Source organism: Homo sapiens, chromosome 9, assembly GCF_000001405.40.
Source record: "Homo sapiens chromosome 9, GRCh38.p14 Primary Assembly".
Lineage (NCBI taxonomy): Eukaryota > Metazoa > Chordata > Mammalia > Primates > Hominidae > Homo > Homo sapiens.
Window position 1 is genome coordinate 76,001,997 of NC_000009.12, and position 23,774 is coordinate 76,025,770.

The following is a 23,774-nucleotide window of genomic DNA, read 5'->3' on the forward strand; positions in this document are numbered from 1 at the left end:
TTTAATGTGTAACAGAAGGGAAAATGAAGGAAAGAAACAAGACATGTAATTCCCATAGAAGAAAAGTAAATTGGTAATGATTTTATTCATTCAACAACATTTATTGAATTCCTCCTATGTATCAGGTGTAATTCAACCTGCTAGAGATAACAAGTATGAAAAGGTTGTATACCCTGCTCACTAGCAGGACATAGTCAAACTGGGAAATAGCTAGCTTTATGTAATATCTAATAGTATAGTGCAGGCATGCATGAAGTACTGTGAGACCCTTGCAAATATACTCAAGCATTTCAATCTTGTTAGGATCTTTAGTTTGATTACACGGACCTCAAGTTCCTAATGTGAGAACAAACATATGTCATATATCAAAATTATGTGATACAGGAGAGGATTTTTTTGCATGCAAATGAACAAGTTTCACACAATTACTGCAAAAATTGCCTTCCTTGGAAGACCACTTTTAAGGATTCTTAATAGGCATCTCCAAACGAAAATCATACTGATAAGAACAAACGTAAGATTTATTTACTGTGGGAATTCTCATAGACTTTGTTATCCTAATATGCTGTGTGAATTGACAGAAGAGATGTAAATAGGCAGTATTTGTTTCCCTGACCTATTTTTCAGTTTGTCCAGAGGGTACATTTTTACAGCAAAACATTGTGTCCATCGAGATTGGGTTGTAAGTGATCAGAAAATTCAATCCAAACTGGCGGAAGGGAAACAAGTGAAAGAAGGAGGGAATTTATTGGCTTCTTGAACTCTGGCATGCCTCACTTGATCTCAGAGGTAAAGCAGGGCTCCAGGAACTCAGTTCTTTCTGCCACTCAGTGTAGCCCTGATCTCTCCCATTGCTGGATTCTCAAACAAGCCTCCTGCACATCATTGCAAGATAACTGTCAGGAGTCCTCAGTTCAAGTCTAATACGAAAAAAGTGAGAGCCTTTGCCTTGGTATGCCGAGAAAAATTCTCGTGGGTACACACTTTGCTTTCCATCTCTCCTTACCTCTTTCTGCAGTCTGTTCTTGTTTTCTTACTATGGAGCCTTGAGTACCTTGTTGGATGCCTTTGGGACAAAGTGATTTAGAGGGAGAGTAGCATGTAAGAGATAGCAAGAGTCTACAGAGGACTACGAGGCTATGGAAAGAGGTCATCCCTCCCCAGTAGAAATCCTGGAACATGGGCAGGCATCCTTATCACGTGTGTTCAATCGTAAAGGCAGCTCTTGATGAAAAGCCCTCACCTGACAGCTTTCAAGAAGAGACAGCTGGCAGGCTGAGGTGGGAGTATCACTTGAACCTGGGAAGTCGAGGTTTCAGTGAGCTGTGATCATGTGTCTACACTCCAGCCTGGGCAATAGAGCGAGACCCTGTCTCAAAGAAATAAAAATAAAATAGTGTCTGTGATTTTTTTTTCCTTCCAATAGTTTGTTTTAATAAATTTGAAAAATACAAACAAGTTGAAAGAGTAGTATAATGAACACATATTAATACCTTCCATTCACCTGGATTTACCAAAAAGTTAATATTCTTTTCTGTCTCTTTATACACACATGGAATGTTTTCTCTGAACTCTGAAATTAAGTTCCAGACATTGTGAAAATACAGTCCAAAATATTGCAGAATGCATCTCCTAAGAACAACATTCTCCTGTATAACCAAAGTACCACCCTCACTTCTAAGAAAGTTAATGGTGATTTTATCAAAATTACTGTCCATATTCAGTTGTCACAATGATTTTTTTTATAGATCTATCCCTTTTGATTCCAGAACACAGGGTCATACATTGCCATTATTTATTCCATCTCTCTCTCTTTTATTTATTTTTTTAGAGACAAGGTCTCACTCTGTCACCCAGGCTGGAGTACAGTGGTGTGATCACGGCTCACTGCAGCAAAAAACTCCTGGGCTCAGGCAGTCCTCCGGAATAGCTAGAACTGCAGGTGTGCACCACCACAGCTGGCTAATTTTTTTATTTTTATTTTTTGTAGAGCAGGGTTTCGTGTTCCGTAGGTTGGTCTCAAGTTCCTGGCCTCAGGTGATCCTCCTGTTTTGGCCTCTCAAAGTGCTGGGATTATAGGCATGAAACACCGTGTCCAGCTTGTGCCATCTCTTTTAACTATTAATCTAGAAGAGCTCCTCTGCCTTATTGCAGGAATGGGAAACTGAGGAGGGTAGGAAGTGGTCTTTCATGTTGATGATTTTGATGAGGCCAGGCTTATGGTTTGTAAAACAAGTCTCACTTTGGATTTCTTTGATGTTTTTTTTTTCAGGAGTAGATGAGGAGTTAAATATTTTTAGCATAAAATCTACCTAGGGTAAGACTGCATCCTTTTCACGGCTTCCTGTCAGGTGGTATAATGTCAGAAGTCCCATTTTTTGGTGATGTTAACTTTGTTCACTTGGTGGATTGAGATGATATCTGCTAGATTTCTCTATTGTAAAGATATGGTTTGTCTTTGTAATTAACAGGATATCTGAGGGATGATATTTTGTAGCACGTGCATATCCTATTCCCTGTCAATTTTTCCCCAAGATTTTAGCATTTATTGATGACTTCTACCTAAATAAATCATTACATCAGTGCTTGCGAGGTGTTGGTTTTCTAATTCTGGAATACCTTCTTTACTCTGCTGTTTTTTAAAAATATCATTATTAACTCATGGATTCTATTCAAGAGTGATGATTCATTACTGACATTACTGACTTTCTTTTTTGGTTCTGAAATTGGCCCTAGTTTGATGAGTGGGAGACCTTTCAAGTTGACTCCTGTGTCCTTTTCAGAAGTTCCCATCAGTTTTTCAGTACTTCTTCCTTTACAGCACAACAGAATGTTCACCTTGTGTCTTCTCTGCTCCAGACCTACAAATAGCCATTTCTCAAATAGGTGGTTTCTCTTGTTTAGGAGTGGTGTTTAAAAATCAAGATATCGGTGAGAAGGGTGTCATTGGTTCTTATGTCCTTTTTCAGCAGACAGAGCTAAGAAGATATATCTGGAGGTTATAGTGGTACCTCCAAATGCAATTCCATACCACAGGTTCTTCCTCTTCCTGACACATTTCAGATTTCTTTCCCTTCCTTTCACAGTGAGAATCATAGTTATTAACCATATCCATACATTTACTACAGTACATGCAAAATACTGTTGGAATTACCAAACCACTGCTACTACCAACCACAAACTTATGTACAATTTAAGATTTCTCTTTGTCCTTAGAGTATATTCCCTGAGGCAATAGAGTCAGACTCTTTGGTTCCAAAGTTGCTTGAACAAATTTTTTTCTCTATGATTATGTCATTAATTTGATAATACAGTTAGGTTAATTTTCTTCTGTTTTGTTCAGTTTTAGAGCTCTCGCTCATCTTTATATATTTAATTGTATTATTTACTTAATTTTATGTTAAAATATATAAAACATATGGTTCAAAGTAAAATACGTAGAATACTATATACACACTTTTTTACGTTTTGCTTTTATCACTTAATCTGTTCTTGGAAATCACTATATATTAGTTCATAGAGATCTTTATTCTTTTTTGCAGTGGTGTTCTGGTAGAGTTACCGTAATTTATTTAACTAACTACCAATGAGTGTGCAGGTAGGTTGTTTCCATATGTTTCTACAAATAACTCCAAACTGAATGACCTTGTACACATACTTTGTGGTTGTTTTTGTAGGTGTATTTTCAGGATAAGTTCCTGGCAGTAGATTGCTCATTCCAAAGGTAGAAGGGAATATAGCATTATTAGATATTGCTAAATCTCCCTCATTAAGGGCTAGGATAGTTTACATTCTCATCAACCATGTTTGGGTGCCTTCTTCCCCTCACCTGGCTCTGTTGTCAGTTTTTGAAATTTTTCTTTTTAAGAGACGGGGTCTTGCTTTGTCACTCAGGCTGGAGTGCAGTGGCACAATCGTAGCTCACTGCTGCCTCAGATTCCTGGGCTCAAGTGATCCTCCCACCTCAGCCTCCAAGTGACTGAGACTACAGCCTCCCAAGGGGCTAGGAGCACACCACCACGCCCTTTTTTTTTTTTTTAATTTTTTTCTAGAGATCAAGTCTCACCATCTTTCCAAGGCTAATTTTGGCTTGTTTGATGGGTGAGAAATGGCATCTCTGTGTGTTTTATCTGATATCAGAATCACAACCCTGCTTTGCCCCAACTCTTTATTCTTAGGCATTTGAATTACTCTATTTTAGGTGTTAGATTTTGCTTTGTGAGACAATTTTAATGTATTTTTATTTAATAAGATTTTTAAGCTCATTTACATTTATAAATATGACCAATAAATTTCATCTCATCTGTCATATTATTTTAGATTTTATGTATATATAGTTTATATTTTGTTATTGTGTTTTGTATGTGGCCCATTCCTTGTTCTTTTGAAATAATTTATTTTGGCTATGGGGAAGGTTGTATTATTATTTTAATGATTATTAAATGTAACCTTTATATGCCCTTCATTCCTTTTTCCTTCACTTGATCTATATTTGGTTTGTCAGCTTTAAATCAGATCCGTTGAGTCTACCTATGGAACAATTCATTAGCTTATCCTGTTTTACCGTTTCTGTCTCTTTTCTCCTTCTATTTTAAGTTCATTATTTCTATTTTTCAGAACACGTTTCCTTATTCTTCTTCCACCCTGGTTCCCTCCTTTGCTTTTATCTTAGATTTGCAAATAAATATGTTTCATCCACCATCAGTTCTTTTGCGAGTCATATCTTGGTTGGACAAAACACATCGGCTAGATTACCTAGAAAGGGCTTGTAAGTGCAGTATACCCTGGGTTCTTAATTGTATAAAATGTTTTCTAGAGGCTTGATATTTGAAGGATAGCTTCACTGATAGTTTTTTCCCCTGCAGGTAACCCTTTATTTATGTATTTTTTGGTGTGGAGGTCCAGGAGACTTTTTTTCTTGAAGTGTAATGTTAAAGATTAGACACAGGTACAAGCATATTAGGTCTTATTTGCCAGTTTTCTTTATTAGTTACTTTTTCTTGAATACTTTTGACCTCTATGTTGCTTTTTTGTTCTCTTTCCCATATTTATGCCTTTCTTCAATGCTCCTGATTATATTTTCAGTTGAATCACTTCTCTCTCAGACACCTTGTAATTAGTTTTTATTTCTAATATAATTTAGCGTTCAGTTTATTTCCAGGGTTTAATCAACTCTGGTTTTACATCTTGTTTTTGTTCTGTCCATATATTTTAAAAATATTTCTTTGAGCTGTATTTCCATATCTTCAGATTCTATTTCAGTGTGTTTCACTTAGGTTCAGATGTGTTTCATTTGTGTGCTGTTGCAAATTTTTTAGTAGAATTTTAATCAACTGCAATATTTTGATTCTCTTTTTATACTTTGTTGTTACAGAACATTGGGTAGATATTTGTCTACTAGTCTCCATTCATTTTGAGATGTTTTATTTTCTTAGATCATTAGTAGCAATTGTGTGTAGAAAGAGGTGGGAATTTGAATGACTTATTAAGTCTCCTAGTTCAAAAGAACAATAATATTTTGATACAGTAAGAATTATTTGATTTTATCAATGCATTTGGAGGGTGTGAGAGGAGGGTAGATGGCCTTCTGATTTAGTGATTCTCCGTTGCTTTAATATGACTTCTGCTTTTCATCACTTTCGTTTTTTGAGACAGGGTCTCACTCTGTTGCCCAGGCTGGAGTGCAGTGGCGTGATTATGGCTCACTGCAGCTTTGACCTCCTGGGTTCAAGTGATTCTCCCACCTCAGCTTCCTGAGTAGCTGGGACCACAGGCGCCTGTCACCATGCCCGGCTAATTTTGTGTGTGTGTGTGTGTGTGTGTGTGTGTGTGTGTGTGTGTGTGTATTTTTTGTAGCCACAAAAAAATACAACATGGTTTAGCCATGTTGCCCAGGCTAGTCTCAAACTCCTGAGATAAAGTGATTTTCTTCACTTTCATATCTCTTTCTCCATCAAGTCTTCAACGGGTTCCCCTTCTAATTTGCTCCTTCACTCCCAGAACTGGTGCCTTTCTATAATTTCCATCTCTGCTCCTTTGCACTCTGAGCTCCGTGCAGGTCTCAGATCTGTTCACCTTATTTCCCTACTGAGGAGGGGCTTTCTCTGTGTAAGATTATTCTATTTGTGTCTCACCATTACTGGGCTTCTGCTTCCTTTTACTTTTCTGCTGTCTCTATCTGACTTTCTGCTCTTGTGATCTCAAGAGCGGGTTCTGCTGGATTTGAGTATTTTTCTCCTGCTTATGTGTAATTTGAGGTTTGTTGTGTTCCTTTTTTCCTACTTATGATATAAATCTGTGTTTAAAAATTTCATAGTTTCTCTTTGTTTTATCTTTATGTTGTTTTATAGGATGCATGGGGAGATTAAGATTTAGATGGCTTTCATTATCCTATTGAAACCAGGATTAGATTCTTTAGATCCTATTCTGGGTAGGAAGCAAATAGAACACTGCATATTTCCTTCTTTTTGCCTTTTTTTTTTTGAGATGGAGTCTCGCTCTGTCACCCAGGCTGGAGTGCAGTGGCGCAATCTTGGCTCACCACAACCTCTGCCTCCCAGGTTCAAGTGATTCTTCTGCCTCAGCCTCTTGAGTAGCTGAGATTACAAGCGTGAGCCGCCACACCCAGCTAATTTTTGTATTTTTAGTAGAGACAGGGTTTCACTGTGTTGGCCAGGATGGTCTCGATCTCCTGACCTCGTGATCCACCTGCCTCAGCCTCCCAAAGTGCTGGGATTACAGGCATGAGCTTTGCATTCTTACCATAGGCATCTTAATTCTTCCTTAAGAAAGAAAGATGCAGTTAATTAAAGTTGGAGATGTCATAGGACAAATTAGTATTATGCTGTAAAGTTACCCACCCTTAGACTGGTGGCACCAAGGGTTGGCAGATTTAGAAAGTGAAAATAGATGTTAATTTGAATTTCAGATAAGCAATGAATAACTTTTTAGTATAAGTATGTCACATCCAATATATGGGATCTACTTATACTAAAAAAGTGTTTCTTGTTTATCTGAAATTCAAATTTAACTGGAGCTCTTGTATTTTATCTAGCAGCTCTACTTTAGGGAAAGAAATGTTTGTTACTATTTTTCATAGTCCGTGTGGTACCTAGAATGATACCTGGGATGGTGCTGAGCAAAAAGCATGCGCAAAATATTTGTTGAATTAAAGATGCAAATTTAATTTTATAACAAACGTAGTGATCATAACATATTATTTCCTAATGAAATGTGAGGATAACAAAAAAAAGGTTCAATTCTATTCAATCTCAATTTCAGTTGGACTAAAACTTTTTTTTTCAAGTTAAATGAATTGATGTTCTACTTAATGGTTTTCTCTTCATGTTTGATTTTTCAAGTAACCTTTAAAAATCCTACTACCCACTTTGGGAGGCCGAGGTGGGTGGATCACGAGGTCAGGAGATCGAGACCAGCCTGGCCAACATGGTGAAACCCTGGCTCTACTAAAAATACAAAAATTAGCCAGGCATGGTGGCGGGTGCCTGTAGTCCCAGCTACTCGGGAGGCTGAGGCAGGAGAATCACTTGAACCCGGGAGGCGGAGGTTGCAGTGAGCCGAGATCACACCACTGCACTCCAGCCTGGCGACAGAGCGAGACTCCGTCTCAAGGAAAAAAAAAAAAACAAAAAAGAAAAATCCTATTACCTTAAACTGTCACAAGGTGGAGTGTATATATATATTTATATATGAGAGATCATATATAGCTAGATAAGTGCAGTGAAAGCTAGATTGATAGATACATGGAGCAATCACAAAAGCTAAGGAATAACCGTATTCAGACTTTTTTCTACCCTACAATCATACTTCATTATTACCTGCTTTATATCCCTAGGTTTATGTTTATGTAGCTCTGGTGGAGATTACCTAACCTCAGAGAAGGCAAACTGTCTCCTCGTCCTAGGGAATAAATCATGAATGGTCCAAGCCAGTCACGGGATGCATGTGCGCTGCACCAGGCCTGAAGAAAGAGGTATACCAGTGACCCAGTTTTAGCCAAATAACAACTACCGATGAAGTTGATACTGAGGGATTTCTTTCTCTTAGGAGAGAAAGCCTTTTGTGATGTCTTTCTTTCTACTTGGGATACTGATGAGGGATATCATACAAGGAGCTGTGGCAGTTATCTTGAAATCAGGAGGCACTTTCAGAGGACAAAGGGCCAACAGCTAAGTCTGGTGGCTGAGAAAATAGTCTGGTTCCGTAATGATGTAATTAACTTGGAACCACCAACTTTCAGATTAACTGGATGATAATTAAATGCTTTTTCTGATGATGGTTAATTGGGGCTTTTTTTCCTTGCAGCTAAAAACATTCCAAACTATTAATGGTACAAACTTCTCACTAGAAAGTAACTTCAGGAATTTATAGGTTAAACACATCCTTTTAAAGGAAGTTCTGTTTTTTGTTTGTCTTAGTTAGAATCTTTGGAGGACTGTGATCTATCACTTTACTGTTCACTATGCCCTTTCTTCCCTTTTAATGAAAAATAAGGTGTTGGAGAATAAAGTGGAAAGGGCTGCATTTTTCTGCTGTGTTGACTGAGCAGCTTTTTGGATCTCTGTAACTCCAATTTAACATCTTTCAACATCTTTCTCCACTTTTTCCACTTTGGAAAGCTCTGTTCTAAATAATCAGTGAAAACATACCACTGTCAGACATGAGGATGTTTTGGACTTTGATTGTCTGTAAGGTGTTTATGTTAGTTACCCATGAAGAGCTTACTAATTAGATAGAAAAGACAACATGCTTGGAAAACTATGTTCTAAAATATGTATGTGGGCTGCTGAATGTGGCTGTGGAAAGCTGCTACCCTAGTGTTGAATTTAATTGTGTTAACGTTATTCCTTTCATTAATGAATGGAAAAAATGTGGTTTAGGTTACAGGAACAGTATTCCAGTTTACCTTGAATATGCCACTCTAAGAGTTTAGGAGTTACTATAAAGTTCAGTGTCCTTGCTCTATACATGAAGATGTGTCACTGTGTTTGGATAGTGACTTTTCTGGAATTATTATTTTTCTCTAACAAGAAATTCTGTTGGATGCTATTAAAGCAAGTTGCTTGGTTAGATTCTTGAAAGGATTCGACATTTTTTATTAATAAGAAAAACATTTGCAGTTACGCTTGCTAGTGGAGGATAAAAATAAGTTTGTTTTCTTGCTCATTATACTCCAGGGTCTGGAGAGAATCTCACCAGGTCGAAGAGGCAATCTTCTCTGTAGGTTCCTTTATTGAGTGGCCAATCAAATGCATTATGGGATCCTTCATCTTTTCTGAAGCCTCTGCTACTTGCCACTGTGCAAGAAGCCCTGGACATATTATTGGCCTGTCCAAGCAAAATGTTTCATCTTCCTTGCAAGCAACTTTGTAGATTTTATACTAGTTTGCATCTTCAAGTGGACAATAAAAGCAAAGATGTCAGGTAGATTTGGACAATTATTTTTATTCAGCCTAAAAGGAATGATATTAAAGTGGTCTTTTTAGTAGCTATCAGAATTGATTTTGCTGATTGTCAGAAGTGAGATGGTTTTTCCTTTACCTTGTAAGTAGATTTATTTTTCTGTGGCTATATCATAGCAATAGCAAATTATCATGCTCTTTAAACATCACACATACTACAGTGTGGATTGTTTTTGTCATAAGTAATTTTTTTGTTTCCAAATTTTTATTTGAAATGTGGAAATGTGTTTTGTTTTGTTTTTAAATTTTAAATGACAATAGGTTGGGAACCTCAATTTTGCTCTGATTTGCCCTTCCATGGCCAGAGTTTATTGCCTGATGCCTATAAAAGCCTCTTTCCAAAATGAAGTTTCAGTGTTTATTGAATAAATGTCAGCTCAGTAACAGAAAAACTGTAAAGAACTCAGGGTATAAATTTAATAACACATTTCCCTTAATGTCATGCAAGGTCTTTTTTTTATTTCCTTCATAACTATTACCATGATCTCTAATTATAGTTTGTCTTATTTGCCTACTTGTTTAGTATCCATCTGCCCAAATTTGAATATCACCTTTATGAAGACTAGATCATGTGTTTTCTCATTCCCAGATGTAGACTTAGTATCTAAAAGGCATTGAATAAGCACGGTTGGAAATTTTAAAAAATAAACACACACACAAGCAAATGAATACATGTTTCGACAGTTTACAGATGTAGTATAACTGTAATGTAACTGCCATTGCTTCTAGCTATTACGGGGTAAACCATTATGCAATAGATATATGTCCTTCAGAAGGACTTTCAGATAACTCAACTATGACAAACACACATTAATAACTAAATCGTACACATCAGATTGAAAATTCTCTTAGTGTTCACATGAATGAAAAAGCCATATTAACTTCCATGTCAGTCAAGCCTTCAAATGGCTTTATCCCCAGTGGACATCTGACTGCAAAGTATGGGAGGCCCCAAGTGAAAACCACACAGCTGATCCTACTCAACCGTAGGACTGTAAGTGGTAATAATAAATTATTGTTTCTGGCTATTATGTTTTGGGATAGTTGGCTTGTGCAATATGGGAAAAACAAAAATTTGGCAATATAAACTTCAACTATTGATACTAAGTTATTCTCCTTTTCTAAGCAGCGCACCTTTATTTGAGGTCATTATGTGTATTAGACATACTCTTTGATTATATAAAAGCATAACGATGAGTTATACCTGAAGAAGTCATGTTACTAGGAAAAAGAAAAGATTTGTGAGGGTCACAGTGGGCTAGTGTGTTGGCAAGAAAGCAAAGTTGAATTCAGATTTTGTCTCCAACTACTTATGGTCCATGTGGGTCTTAAGAAACCCTACCTCTTCTGATATGGTTGCTTGATTTTATATTACTCCCTGTTTTCTGAGCTTCCATACCACAATTGCTTCAGATTTCTTATAGAAATAAATGTATTTTGGGTAATAACTTATTACAGGGCATGGCAAAAATCCTTTAGAACTGTTAGAATATTCAAAAAGTTGAGCCAGTAATCTCGTAGATCTAGAGAGAAGCAAAGCCAAAAAAATCTGGAAAGACCCATTTGAAATTCTGCATCCCCTTTATTTTTAGATATAATGTCAATACACTAATAAGTCTTTTTTGTCCTTTGAGGTATCCATCTTAGTGCCTTAATTTGAGACAGTAATTAGGGGACCACTGTTAATGTTTGATACCAAAAGTCTGCTGCTCTCTGTTGAGTTTAAACAGGTTAAACTTGTATTTTGCTAGGAAATATCAAGTGATTCTTGTTCTTGGAGGGGCCAAGACTATTTAATGATCATGTGTCCATCACTTGAATGTGCACAGCTTCATTGTTTTGTGCATTTATTTGATCCTCTCTTCCTCTTCCATCCCTCTGTGTCCTCTTCTTTTCATATACATGCCACCTGTGTGACTTGGCTTTGAAAATATCCCTTGAAAGCATCTTATCTATGGGAGTTTCAGGGGTTGACTTAAGGAAGCTGAAGCGGCTTTTACTGTTCAGAAGTTCTGCAGAGTCCTGGAAAGAGATGTAGCCTTCAGTAAAAATTTGTGAGAACTTGAAATGTGATAGGACTTGGAGAGTAAATTATGTATTGCTTTTCTATTTATTTGTCTTTCTTTCCGTCTGTTAATTCGTCCATTCACCCATTCATTGAAAAGATAATGATTATGTTGTCAAAAGCTGATTGCAGAATGAATGAAGGTTTGGGAAGATATTGTATCAATATAACCTTGTGCTGCTTGATTTGTTCAACTGAAAAACGGATTGGTTTCTCACCTAAAAAATAGCTGCCATTGTATTTCATGAGATTATTGTCATTTTTGAAGCAATATAAATGAAGAAAGATGACATATTAAAAGTTGTTTTTCAGTAATTTCAAATGATGTTTAAATTCCCTCTCCTTGACCCTGTATGTCTCCAACATTAGAAAAAAAATTATTTCCCATAATTTTTTCTCAACTTTTTTTTTTTTTGACTTTGAAGAAAAAAGGAAGTGGGAACTGAAGTCCGTTGGTTGTGCTTATCCAAGCCACACCACATTCTACTCATTTTTTAAAAAGGAAAAAGTACTCCTCCTGAGACCTCAGTGAATAGAGAGGAGGCAGAGGTTTCTCAGCAGATTTATGCTCAGAGGGGACCGAGAGGGTGAAGAGTTCTATGCAAGCAGAATTTTGCAAATAATAGAAACAAAAAAATTACATTTTAGAAAAGAATGAGAGGTGCTTACTGCTCATGTTCCCATAATTATTAAATACTGCAGCTCAGTTGCTTCTAAAATTTATTTTTATGAGCTCCGGCATAGGAATTGTTTCTTGGCATATAAGCACTTAAGGAAAACATTTTAGTTGAGATCATCCATAAGCAAACACGATTAACTAATGTACTAATTGCACAGTTTGTGTGAGAGGGTAATGTGTTAAGAAATATTTGATTTTTGATTCATAGCCAGGAAGAAAGTCATTTGGCAAAACTGAATTTCTTCTCAACTTAGGTAGAATTGCTGCATGACCTCAAAAGGGAAACAATATTCAAGTTCAGCTATATACCAAAACCAGAGGAGAGTTGAACAGTATTTGCTTCTGTCATGCCTTGTGTTATTCCAAACAAACTTCTGCATCCCTGAGCTCCTCCTGACAGCAGAAATTTCCCACCGGACCTATAAGCCCACCTGTCGCTATGTTACCGCCCTTCTGACTTCTTCTGCCAGGAGGATTGAACTTTGGTTAGTGGCATATTAGAATAATCAACAACCCCATATGAATGTCTTCTCTTCTCATAGAATTCCCTGTGAAGGCTTCATTCCCTGCACATTCCCTATGCTCTTTCTTAGACCTTTACATTGGCAATGCCCCATCATGAGTCAATGTGCAGAAGATGAAGATTTCTAGATCTTATTTATACCTTCATTACCTGTATTATATATATTACCTGTATTGTATTATCTGTATTATATATATATCTGGAGAAAGAGAGAGAAAGAGAGGGAGAGGGAGAGACAGAGATTTATCATGAAGGATTGGTTCATGTGATAATGGGGGCTGAGAAGTCCTGTGATCTGATATCTGCAAGATGGAAGCCTAGGAAAGCCAGTAGTTCTAGTCCAAGCCCAGAAGGCTGGAGAACCAGGAGAGCCAAGGGTGTAAGTCCCAGTCTGAATCTGAAGACAGGAGAAACAGGAGCAACAGTGCCCAAGGGCAGGAGAAGATGGATGTCTCAGCTCTACCAGAGAAAGCAAATTCACTCTTCCTCTGACTTTTTGTTGTATTCCGCCCCTCAACAGATCAGATGATGCCCACCCACATTGTGTGGACAGTTTTCTTTTACTAGCTCCATCTATCCAAACGCTAATCCCTTCTGGAAGCACGTGCACAGACATATCCAGAAATACTATTTACCAGCTCTCTGGGCATTCCTTAACCCAGTCAAGTAACACAGAAAATTAACCATCACACCGTCTCAAGAAATATTGATTTATGAATGATTATTTTTATTATGAACTTTAAAGATTATAAAGATATAATAATCATACAGCACAAGTGGCTTGTAATTTCATTAGGCAGATAAAACACATATATAACCAAAGATGACCAATATGAAGAGTGGTGGATGGGTGAGCAGAAAAACACTGGGTTTTCATTGAAAAGAATGTTCAGTGGAATGCCCAGGGATCTTAATTTGCTTTAGAATCATATACTGGACAACTTTAGGTGTTCTTATTGCCTTTCTTCCCCAGTTATACAGCCAACTCTCAGAGAAGTGGCTTCAACTTGATGCACGGATTTTCTCCTGCCCATCTGGTTTGGCCAACTTCCCTTAGATTGATAACCTTAAACATTAGTGAGCTTTTTGTGGTTTTAGCAAACCACACCTTCCTCACCTCTCCAGCCTCAACTCTTCCCATTTTTCTCATCTCCCACCTCACCTTTTGTAACTTGTATTCTCCAGCTATACTGTCTTAAGTTCCTTTAACACTCCAGTCTCTATGATTATTTGACACTTTTACCAAGATGGAACATATCTTCTTCATCCCTGACTCGCCCTTTGGCTAGTCAGCTTGTATTAGGGGCTCAGTTTAAATGTTATTTTCTCAAGAAAGTTCTCTTAGCCTTCCTACACTTCCCCCTGACTGGGTTCCATGTTCCCACAGTATCCTGACAAACTGTGTTAATGATACCTAACATGTAGTGCCAGAGGGCAAGTGGGGGATGGAGAGGATATGTTACATCTTGGTAAAGGTATGGACCAACCATAGTGGGCTGTTTCCAGTGGTACACTGGATCCACTTTCTGTAACTCATGAACAATTTTTTGCAATTGCTTGTCTGTTGCATGGACTAGAGTTCAAGGACCTAACAATAGGGACAGTGTCATGGCCAGTATGGTGATTGGAATGTAGTAAGTGAGAAGGAGAAGTGACAATAGAGATGGAGGCAATGGTTTCAGACCTAGATTTCTGAAGCCTGAATCAGTTCTTTGAACTGAGGTACTTGAGATTGGTGTGAACCCTGGCAGCTCCAGAGAGTTATACATATAAAAGATAAGCTTGTTCTTGGTGCCTCAGAAATGCCCGCTAAGTTTTAGAAGCATAAAACATGGTTTAGCACCAAGGCTAGGTAATATAGTGGAAACCAGTTCTCCATACACTAATATGAGACTTGTAAAGATTCCTTAAAGGTGACACAAGATGTGTTTCTTGGTTTATTGGTTTTTATTTTGTTAAATGGTTTTAAGACTGAAAGTTTCTAATGCACGATGGGTCAGGTTTGGAAAGATTCAAAGAGGGTCACAAAATGTACAAATGAGAAACACCATCCACTTAACTAAACCTAAAGACCATCCAGTTATACTTTGACTTCTATGCTTTGATTTCTTAACCCTCAATTATGAGTAGAATTTTGGAACAGGATTTATTCTGCTTTCCTCTCTATAAGCATATCTTGTAGATCACAGCCTTCTTCTCCCAACCTCCACTATTTTCTGATGTTCCCTTGGCATTATGTCTGGCACTCTTAACATTTCTAACTGAGAAATGATCTTATGTCAAGACTGTATCATAGTAGATGGGGACCATGGTTCTAGCAGAGTTGGAATAGTGGTATAAATGTGTGGAGTAAAAAGGATGATTCATAGGATACCAAAAACGTTTGGCCAGTGTGCCAAAAGGACGTTGCATGCTGTTTCCTCCTTGTGCACCCCCTCCCCAGGCTCCATTTCCCAGTTCCAGCCCACGACCTCAAATGTAAAAAATAATTCAGGTCATCCAGCTAACCTTACAAATGATCAATTGCCCTTTCAACTTTGCCAATCTATCTCTCCAGACAATGAAGAAAATCATCCTCTCCTTATTTTATGATAATCAATCTCCTTTTTTAAAAAAACTAAAATTTTCTTCCCTAAATTATAAGAAGGCTTTGCCCCTATATAGGTGCTGCCATCAACAGTAGCATGATCATAACAGCAACCAATTGTTATGTACTTTATCTTCTTTCATCTTTATAGCAATTATCTGTGTTCAAACTACAGATGAGGTTTTAAGAATTTGGTGACTTGACACTCAAGTCATACAGCTGGAAAGTAGCAGAGGTAGAATTCAAATTCTCCTCTGCCCAATTCCCTTTAGCTCACCTCCTTATCTGCTCTGCTGAATTTGGTGTTGAAATGTATTGGGCTTCCATGGGATTTCTGGATAATCCACAGACTGAATAATCATCCTCTGAATAATTGGACAGAGCATCTGTTTTGTCTGGGGGCAATTGTGTGTGTGTATGTGTGTGTGTGTGATAACTAAGGATTTGAAGTCCATCAAATTGACTCATTAAGTATTGTAATAAACATCTTAGGACTTAACTACCTTGATTTGTATTTCCAAGAATCTGTAAAGGCACCTGCAGTTTTAGAGGCACAGAATCTCTACTTCGTATACCTCAAAAAGAACCCATCAACTTACGGCCTTCCTCACACGTGTCGAATGTTCATTTTTAAAAGGTAATCTTGAGAGGAAAAGGTTAAAGAAGGTCTCCTCCAAAAAAAAAAAATGTGTGAGGGAGTGAAACTATTGTCTGAAACTGCAAAGGGGAGAACGGAGCCTTCGGTAGTTCCCAAGTACTGAGAAGCAGATTTCAGATCCATTGGAAGGCATGACTTAATCAGAAATGGAGCAGGACTAACCATAGTGGGCTATTTCCAGTGGTACCCTGGATCCACCTTCTGTAAGTCATGAACATTGATTGTTACACATTTAGAAATTTTGCAGTTGTGGTAGTTTAAAACTAGCCATGATGTGAGTATTTACACTGTGGAAATTGGGAAACACTAACACATAAGGGCTGTTTTTTAAAGCAGGGGTCCCCAAGCCCCGGGCTGCGGACCAGTATTGATCGCGGCCTGTTAGGAACCGGGCTGCACAGCAGGACTTGAGTGGCAGGTGAGCATTACCGCCTGAACTCCGCCTCCTGTCGAATCAGCAGCACCTTTAGATTCTCAGAGGAGCACCAACCCTATTGTGAACTGCGCATGCGAGGGATCTAGGTTGCGTGCTTCTTATGAGAATCTAAGGCAATGCCCAGTGATCTGAGGTGGGTTCATCCTGAAACCACCCCACATCCGTGGAAAAATTGTCTTCCACAAAACCAGATCCTGGTGTCAAAAAGGTTGGGGACCGCTATTCTAAAGAACTGATTTACCAGCACTTTATTGCCTATTTAATAAGGAAGTGAACTTCCTGTTGCTGAAAATTTTCAAATATAAACTTGGTGTTTCCAGAAAGATGTGATGCAATAAATGGAATAAGGAAAAAGTAGGTCTCTAAGGTCTTAAACAACTGTATTCCACTTTATCACTTGAATGTACTCATCAAAGTGCTAAGGCCAGAGTGATTTCTGTTATTTGAGTTTCTTTACTGGAACCTTTCTCCAACATCCGCGCCTTATCTACTCCTTATCTACCCTCATCTGAATTTGCTTGTTTTTGGCCCTGCTCTAAGCCCTTTCTGTTTTAGTTTTAACACAAGAGTTACATAGTCCTATGCTGTGGTGTCAGACTGCTTGGTTTGAATCCTAATTTCACATTGGCCAGCTGTTTGAATTCTGGAAGGTTACCTAGGCTGATTAAGTCTCATTTTCTTTATCTGTTAAAAGCAAATGACCAAAGTACCTCTTGCAAATGGTTGTTGTAAATTTTAAATGATGGTAATCCAGATAAAGTGATTAGTAAAATGCTTGGCCATGTAAGGACCTAGTAAACGGTAGTTATATTTTCACTTAAGGAATATCAATTCTTTTTTTTTTTAACTTCCAACAACTCCTGAACTCCAAATTTTACAAAGAATTTTGAGTATATGTACCCTTTACCTAGTTGATTAGATGTATGTCTTCATTTCTCTGTAAAACAGGTTTTTGGATATTTAATTTTATTTTCTTGTTAATGTTGTATAGTCGGAGATGAAGTCTTATAAGCCACTCTATCAATAATAATGAACAACAGATGTTTTCATTGTTAGCAGATTATTGACAGCATTTAAATTGGCAGTTCATTGGAGACCCTCAGAACTTAGAGAAATTTAAAAAATATAATACCATAAGCCCTCCCACCCATAAACCCTGCCAGCACCTCCCACCTCAGTCTTAAAATAATGATGATGAGAACATAATAAAGGTATTTATTTGGGGTATAAACTGTCTTTCATTGAGCTGTGAGATGTTTATGAAGACCCAAGAGAAGTGGATGCACCCAGAGTGGTTTATAAGCAGAATAGCTCATAACCCTGGTATGGAAAAGGCCATTTCTTGAACTCACAGGACAATGTCTTTAAAATTTCATTCCTAAAAAAGTACAAGCTGATATGGATAAGAAAGTGGAGACCTTGTGATATTGGCTGTTTCTTAAGGATATTTTCCATTTTATGTGTCCAGTGTCATTTCTAAATACCTAATAGACCATCACTGAAGTACAGTGCATTATTCAGAACTGAAAATACCTACATTTACTATAAATATTTATCTTGCATATACTGTGCACGTATGTGGTTTTCAATAGCTTCAAATATGCTGGAAATTTCTGACTGGCCCCTTTGGTGAACACCAGGCTGTGGGCTGCATGTGTGGTAACACAATTCTAGACACTCTTCTTTAGTTCCACCTCTGGCAGAGACCTTCTCACCATGGTTGATGATGTATGAGGGAATCATGGCTAATATGTGTTCCGTTTGCCTCTGGGTGCTGCTGTAACATAGATTCCTGTCAAATAAATAGGGCCTAGTTTAAAGACCATTTCAACTAGGCGGTTAAGGAAATGAACTCATTTTCATCTCTGGTCAGTGTTGGGTGACATCAGTATTTCCCATAGCCTTTGGTCTCTGGATTCTTGAGGTATAGGAAACAACTACATTAGAAACATATTTGGAAGCCTGGGCCACTTGAAATGCATTAAAAGTCGAAGATCCACATTCAGGATTCAGGGTTCTGATTTAAATGCCCTCTCACCTTATTACTCACATTTGCAAAAGACACCCTAGGCTTTAACATTCCTTTTTGTCATCTGTATTTTGGTGGCTTGCTATATTAGATTATCCGTATGAAAGCATCAGTTGGATATTTCTTCTTTTTCACCTCCTACCATAGTGATGTATATAAAGAAAACAAGCAAAAAGGTGGTACAAGAATATTTAATGGTAAAGTCAGATTCAACAGAAGCAGAGGTGGAAGAAAGGAACCTAGTTGCTTCACTTTTAACACGCATGTTTTCCGTAGACGGCTGGTTTTCTTCAATTTTCGTAATTACAATTTCAGGCAGCATCCCTCCACTCCAGGCCGGTTATCCCATTTGTGGGTTACCCATTTCCTGTGCATTTCCTTCCTCCGGCCCACCTCTTGGCCACATTAACATGACTTCATGTCACAATCGATACCGCAGGTGGCCACGGCAGGTTTTGAAAGGAGAATGGAATAAAAACCTGTCAAGGTTGCTTTGTGTTAAATTAAAATATGTGGTGAGGAGAGGCCCAAAAACTCTTGGCCAGAATGAGGCTTCTGAAAAACGGAGGCATTTCAGAAATCTACACTATTTTTTTAATCAATCTTTGTTAACCAAGTGTTTGCTGGCAGTGTATCTTGGAAGAAGTCAGAGCAGTACACATAGTGGAAATAAAGTTGAGAATATGCCCCCATTTTTGGGATATAATTAGCCAATATTTTTGAAATCCTAGGGCAGACTTAGTTTATTGCTTGGTCTTCTAAGGGCTTACAGTCAGGGAGACAAAATTCACACCCAAGATTCAACAGTCAACAACAGTTTGGCACAATTCACTGGGTCGTTGTTGGATTGCATAGAACAGAGAGAGAGGGAGAGACACAGAGAGAGAGAGAAAGTGTGTGTGTGGGTGTGGGTTGGGGGGTGTATTTCTAAGTTCAGAGAAGAGACAAAGACAAGTAGGCTGAAAAAGGCTATGTGTTAAGAGGTAGGTCCATAGCTGGGCCCCAAAAACTGAAGGCACGAGGGAGAGAGAATTCGGGTTAGTAGAGTAGAATAGTAGAGAGTGTGTGTTCAGGGCCTCAGGTGCCAGAAAGAAGTCAGGAAGATGGGGGAAAGATACAAATGTTCATAAAAATGTAGAAGCCCCTGTTCTCTAGGAAATCAATGTTGTCTGTCATAAAAACATGGGTGCACCCTTTCTTAGAATGAATCTTTGAAACTACTCAAATGTATTTATAACACTCAACAAAAGGCAGTCTCATTTGGGGAATAAATTAATTAACAAATTTATTTCGGAGGCATTGGAGGCACCTGTAAGGGATGAGGTTTGGAAAGGAGCTTCTGCTTAGGATGTAGTTGGAATAAAAGCCGAGTTGTGGCCTACAACACCCTGAATGATTTGACCATGCCTCCGCTTCTAACTTTCTGCCTTCTGTGCCATTCTCTCCCTGTTCTCTAAGCTCCAACAATACCCATCCTACCCATCCTCTTTCTCTTTCTTTGATACGCTGAACTCTTTCCTGCCTTACCATCTTTGCATTTGCTGTGTCCTCTACCAGGACACTTGTCCCTAGGCTCTTGGGCAGACCAACTCCTTCTCACATTTCACGTTTGCAGAGACTGGAGTCTTTTTTCTGACCATCTCATCTAAAGTGGTGTACTCAGATCCCTCAGCATTCACCATCATATCACAGTGTTTAAAACACAAAGAGCCTTTAAAACACAGGGAGCTCTCTGAATGGTCTTGTTTATTTGGTGGTTTATCTTCTGTGTCTCGCCTTTAGGACAGGGACCTCATCTGCCTTGCGCACAGCCATACCCTAGCATATAAATTCAAGCCAGGTAACTGAGGAACATATACTTTATAATTTCTTAATTATAGTAGGTACTCAATGACGTGTGTGTTAAGTGAATCCATGGCAGTGAAGTCTCCATTGTATTTAGGGCATATTAAGCTTCTATTCTCTTCCATTCCCGATATGCTGAACTATTTGTTACAAAGCAGGAAGAAAGTAGTGAATAGGGAAAGACCTGGGGTGGCTCGTGTTACTATGGAATTATGTAGCAGCACAGCTCTCCTCTTTTGTTCCTCTCCCGAGTCTTAAGAACCTGGAAAACAACATCACACATCACACAGAGGGATATTTCAAAGAGTCGGACTTTAAAGGAACAATTGTGTGGGTTAGATGAATGCTAGTAAATTATGTCAGGAAAAGCTGCTGCCTTAATTTGTTTTTCAATATGTTTGTATGTTGTAGCCATTGCAGAATGAAATTACTATATATAATGAGCTCAGGTTCCATGTTTTACAGCCTTCCCCTCGAAGCCTTCACACACATTGTCCTGTGTAGGACACCTTTCTGGACTTGGCACTGTTCTTCTTTTCCTTCTCAAAAAAATAGTGCTTGATGAATTTGTCTACTGGCTACAAATTATGGTACAATAGCCATTGTTAATTTAGTGAAAGAAGTGTGGAGAACCTGTTATTTTTTTCTCGCCCATGGGTTTTTCATAGGAGCACACATCTGGCTGCTGTACAGAGAAGCTGCCTGAGTGGTTCGATTTGTAGCTGGATGGGCTTCTAGGCGCGTGGTTGAGAAATTATAAAGTCTATGTTCTTCAGTGACATGGTTTGGATTTATAAATGAAATGCTATGATGCCTATTTGTATGTCATTAAAACATGTTAACAATAAAATGATACATCCATTTTTCTGCTGTTGAGATACACTTTATTTAGTTTATGCTTTTCCAAAAGACTTACGGTATCAGAACAGGACAGAGCTGGTGGCGGAGAGATTTCTGTTTCACTTGCTTTTCCCACATCTTTCCTTCCTGTCTTCCCTTGTTCATGCTGGAGATCTATGTTTTTACACTAGTAGACAATGTGCCAAATTGCTGCTAATTTAATGCATTATCTTAAGAAGTAGAGCCAGGCACAATGGCTCACACTTGTAATCCCAGCACTTTGGGAGGCTGAGGTGGGAGGATCACTTGAGTCCAGGAGTTCAAGACCAGCCTGGGCAACAAAGCAAGACCTTGTTTCTGCAAAAAATTTAAAAGTTAGCTGGGCATGGTGGTGTGCCTTTGTAGTCTCAGCTACTCAGGAGGCTGAGGGAGAAGGATCCCATAAGCCCAGGAGTTTGAGGTTACAGTAAGCTCATCACACTACTACACTCCAGCCTGGGCAGCAGAGAAAAAAAAAAACAAAAGAAAGAAAGAAATAGGTAATTCTTCCATTTCCTCACTATTTAGTAATCTTGCAGCATGCTCTTCTTCTTTCAGCACTGCAGTGACAATACACATCCCTGCCAGTCTGACATGAATATCGAAGGAGCCTGGAAGAGAGGCTACACGGGAAAGAACATTGTGGTCACTATCCTGGATGACGGAATTGAGAGAACCCATCCAGATCTGATGCAAAACTACGTGAGTGTATGCTGTGGTTAGAAGGTCTTTCCTTCTGGGAAACAGAGAAACTCATGTTAGGATTATCAAAAAGGTGGATAGCTACTGAAAAATGTAGCAACGTACAATAGGGTATTGTGTTTTGCTTCTCTCTGGTAAAAGATGAGAATTCTTTGAATACAGGAAGCATGAGATAACCCTTTCAACTTTCCAGTGCCTTTGATGTTCTGACTTACAAAAAGAAAGCAATAAGGTAGCAGAAACTCCGCCACCACACCATCTGCTACCAGCAACATTCGCTGTTCTCAACAATTTATCCAACCAGCCAGGCAGTACTCTTTGTTTCTTTTATGGAGAAAAATGTACTTCGAACTTTTCTCCAGTTATCTGCTGGTCTTTTTCTCTCTCTGCCTCTTCTTTTTTTTAAAGGACAGTAATGATCAGCCTCCCAGTAGTCTGTAGGAATCAATTCCTTTCTTAAGAAGAAACCACAAATTCATTTAGTTCTCATTTGAACAAAACAGTTGAGTTGCTGCATCTAAGTGCACTCAGATAAACTGTCTCTTTACAGAATAGAATTTTCAAGCTAAAAAGGAACTTCAGGTTAGTCTCCTCCTTTGATAGGAGAATAAACTGTAGCCTGAAGACTGAAGTGAGTTATCCATGGTCAGATAGAAGAATAGAAACTATGGCTGCCTGTGCCCCAGCAGAGATGTCTTTCTTGTCACACGCGAAGAGGGTTTTACAGCATGCTGCTGTTCCCCACTGCATACAAATGTATTTGACTAAATACAAATAGCATTCATGTAATTGTGAGTGCCGTCTTTTATGTTTGTCATTTTCTCCTCTTGAGAAAAAAATTCTCCAGAATTATCTGTGCAATTAGCATGATTGGTGCCCTCTCGGTTCTTCTTTATGTTGGACCTGGTGGGTAAGAGAGAAAGCACGTTCGGTAACATGTCAAAGACTTGGGTTCCCTCCAGTCTGGATTTGTTTAATCACTTTTAAAGGCAAACAAGCAAATCCAACTTTGGTTTTGGAGATACTGTTTCTTCATATTGAAATCTTGGCATAGGAAAACTTTATCATTTTGGTTGGTCCTCTGTTTCGGGCCTCTTTTTCCTTATCAGTAAAATTAGTAAGGTACATTAGATACACTCTGAAGCCTTCGTGCTCCAAAGGACACTTAGCAGGTCTGCAGAGCCTCTTTTGCACAAGAAGCAGGAACTTAAACCACCTGTATATACAATGTATATTTTACTTGATTTCCCGAAACATTTCAGGCTCTATGTACTAAAAGTTATTTTCAGAAAGAGGAGCCTTTGATAAAGACAGAAAATCAAGATAGTGTTTACTTTCACGAACATTGAAATTAGGAATAATAATAAAGTATAAGAACATTCAGGCTAGGTGCAGTGGCTCACACCTGTAATTCTAGTGTTTTGGGAGGTTGAGGCAGGAGGATTGCTTGAGCTCAGTAGTTTGAGACCAGCCTGGAAAACAGCAAGACCTCATCTCTAATAAAAGTAAAAAAAATGAGGAGAGAGAGAGAGAGAGAGAGACCAAGCCACTCAACAGACCACCAGAACTGAAAATAAGCCAAATTATACTCCAGAGAAGGGTTCTCAATAACACCACATTATTCCAGGCTAGAAGGAGGAAGCAGCCCATTTTTCATTTGATAGTAAGATGTTGAGTCACCATTTTACCCCGCATCTGTATTCCTATACTATTTATCTACATATGTTTCTTATAGCCACCTAACATAAAGAGAAAGAAACTTCTGCCAAATTGTTGTAGTGACCCCATATCTTTGTGGTCTTAATCTCTTGTATTCCCTCTGAGACTTCTTTTCCCTCCTTATACTCTTGTATCTTTCTTAGGAAATTTAACTGAAAAAGACATAGGGC

General features: G+C 38.3%; 1 protein-coding gene across 8 annotated transcripts in view, besides 1 other annotated feature; it reads left to right on the forward strand.

The window, feature by feature from the left end:
- Positions 1 to 23,774, forward strand: part of PCSK5 (proprotein convertase subtilisin/kexin type 5) — a 473,167-nt gene that overhangs the window by 112,188 nt on the left and 337,205 nt on the right. For all 8 annotated transcript variants that reach the window (NR_120409.2, XM_047423454.1, NM_001372043.1 and 5 more), the window contains exon 4: positions 21,742 to 21,885. Coding sequence is in view for 7 of the 8 variants with exons in the window: in XM_047423454.1 (XP_047279410.1) it covers positions 21,742 to 21,885 (144 nt within the window). In the remaining variant the exon portion in view is untranslated. The remainder of the gene's footprint in view (positions 1 to 21,741; positions 21,886 to 23,774) is intronic.
- Positions 21,461 to 22,660: an enhancer, noted in NCBI's record as "BRD4-independent group 4 enhancer chr9:78638373-78639572 (GRCh37/hg19 assembly coordinates)". NCBI's record gives its function as "activates an origin of replication core promoter dependent on BRD2, P300/CBP, MED14 and CDK7 cofactors, and independent of BRD4, by STARR-seq in HCT116 cells {active_cell/tissue: HCT116}" and the evidence as "EXISTENCE:reporter gene assay evidence [ECO:0000049][PMID:35650434]".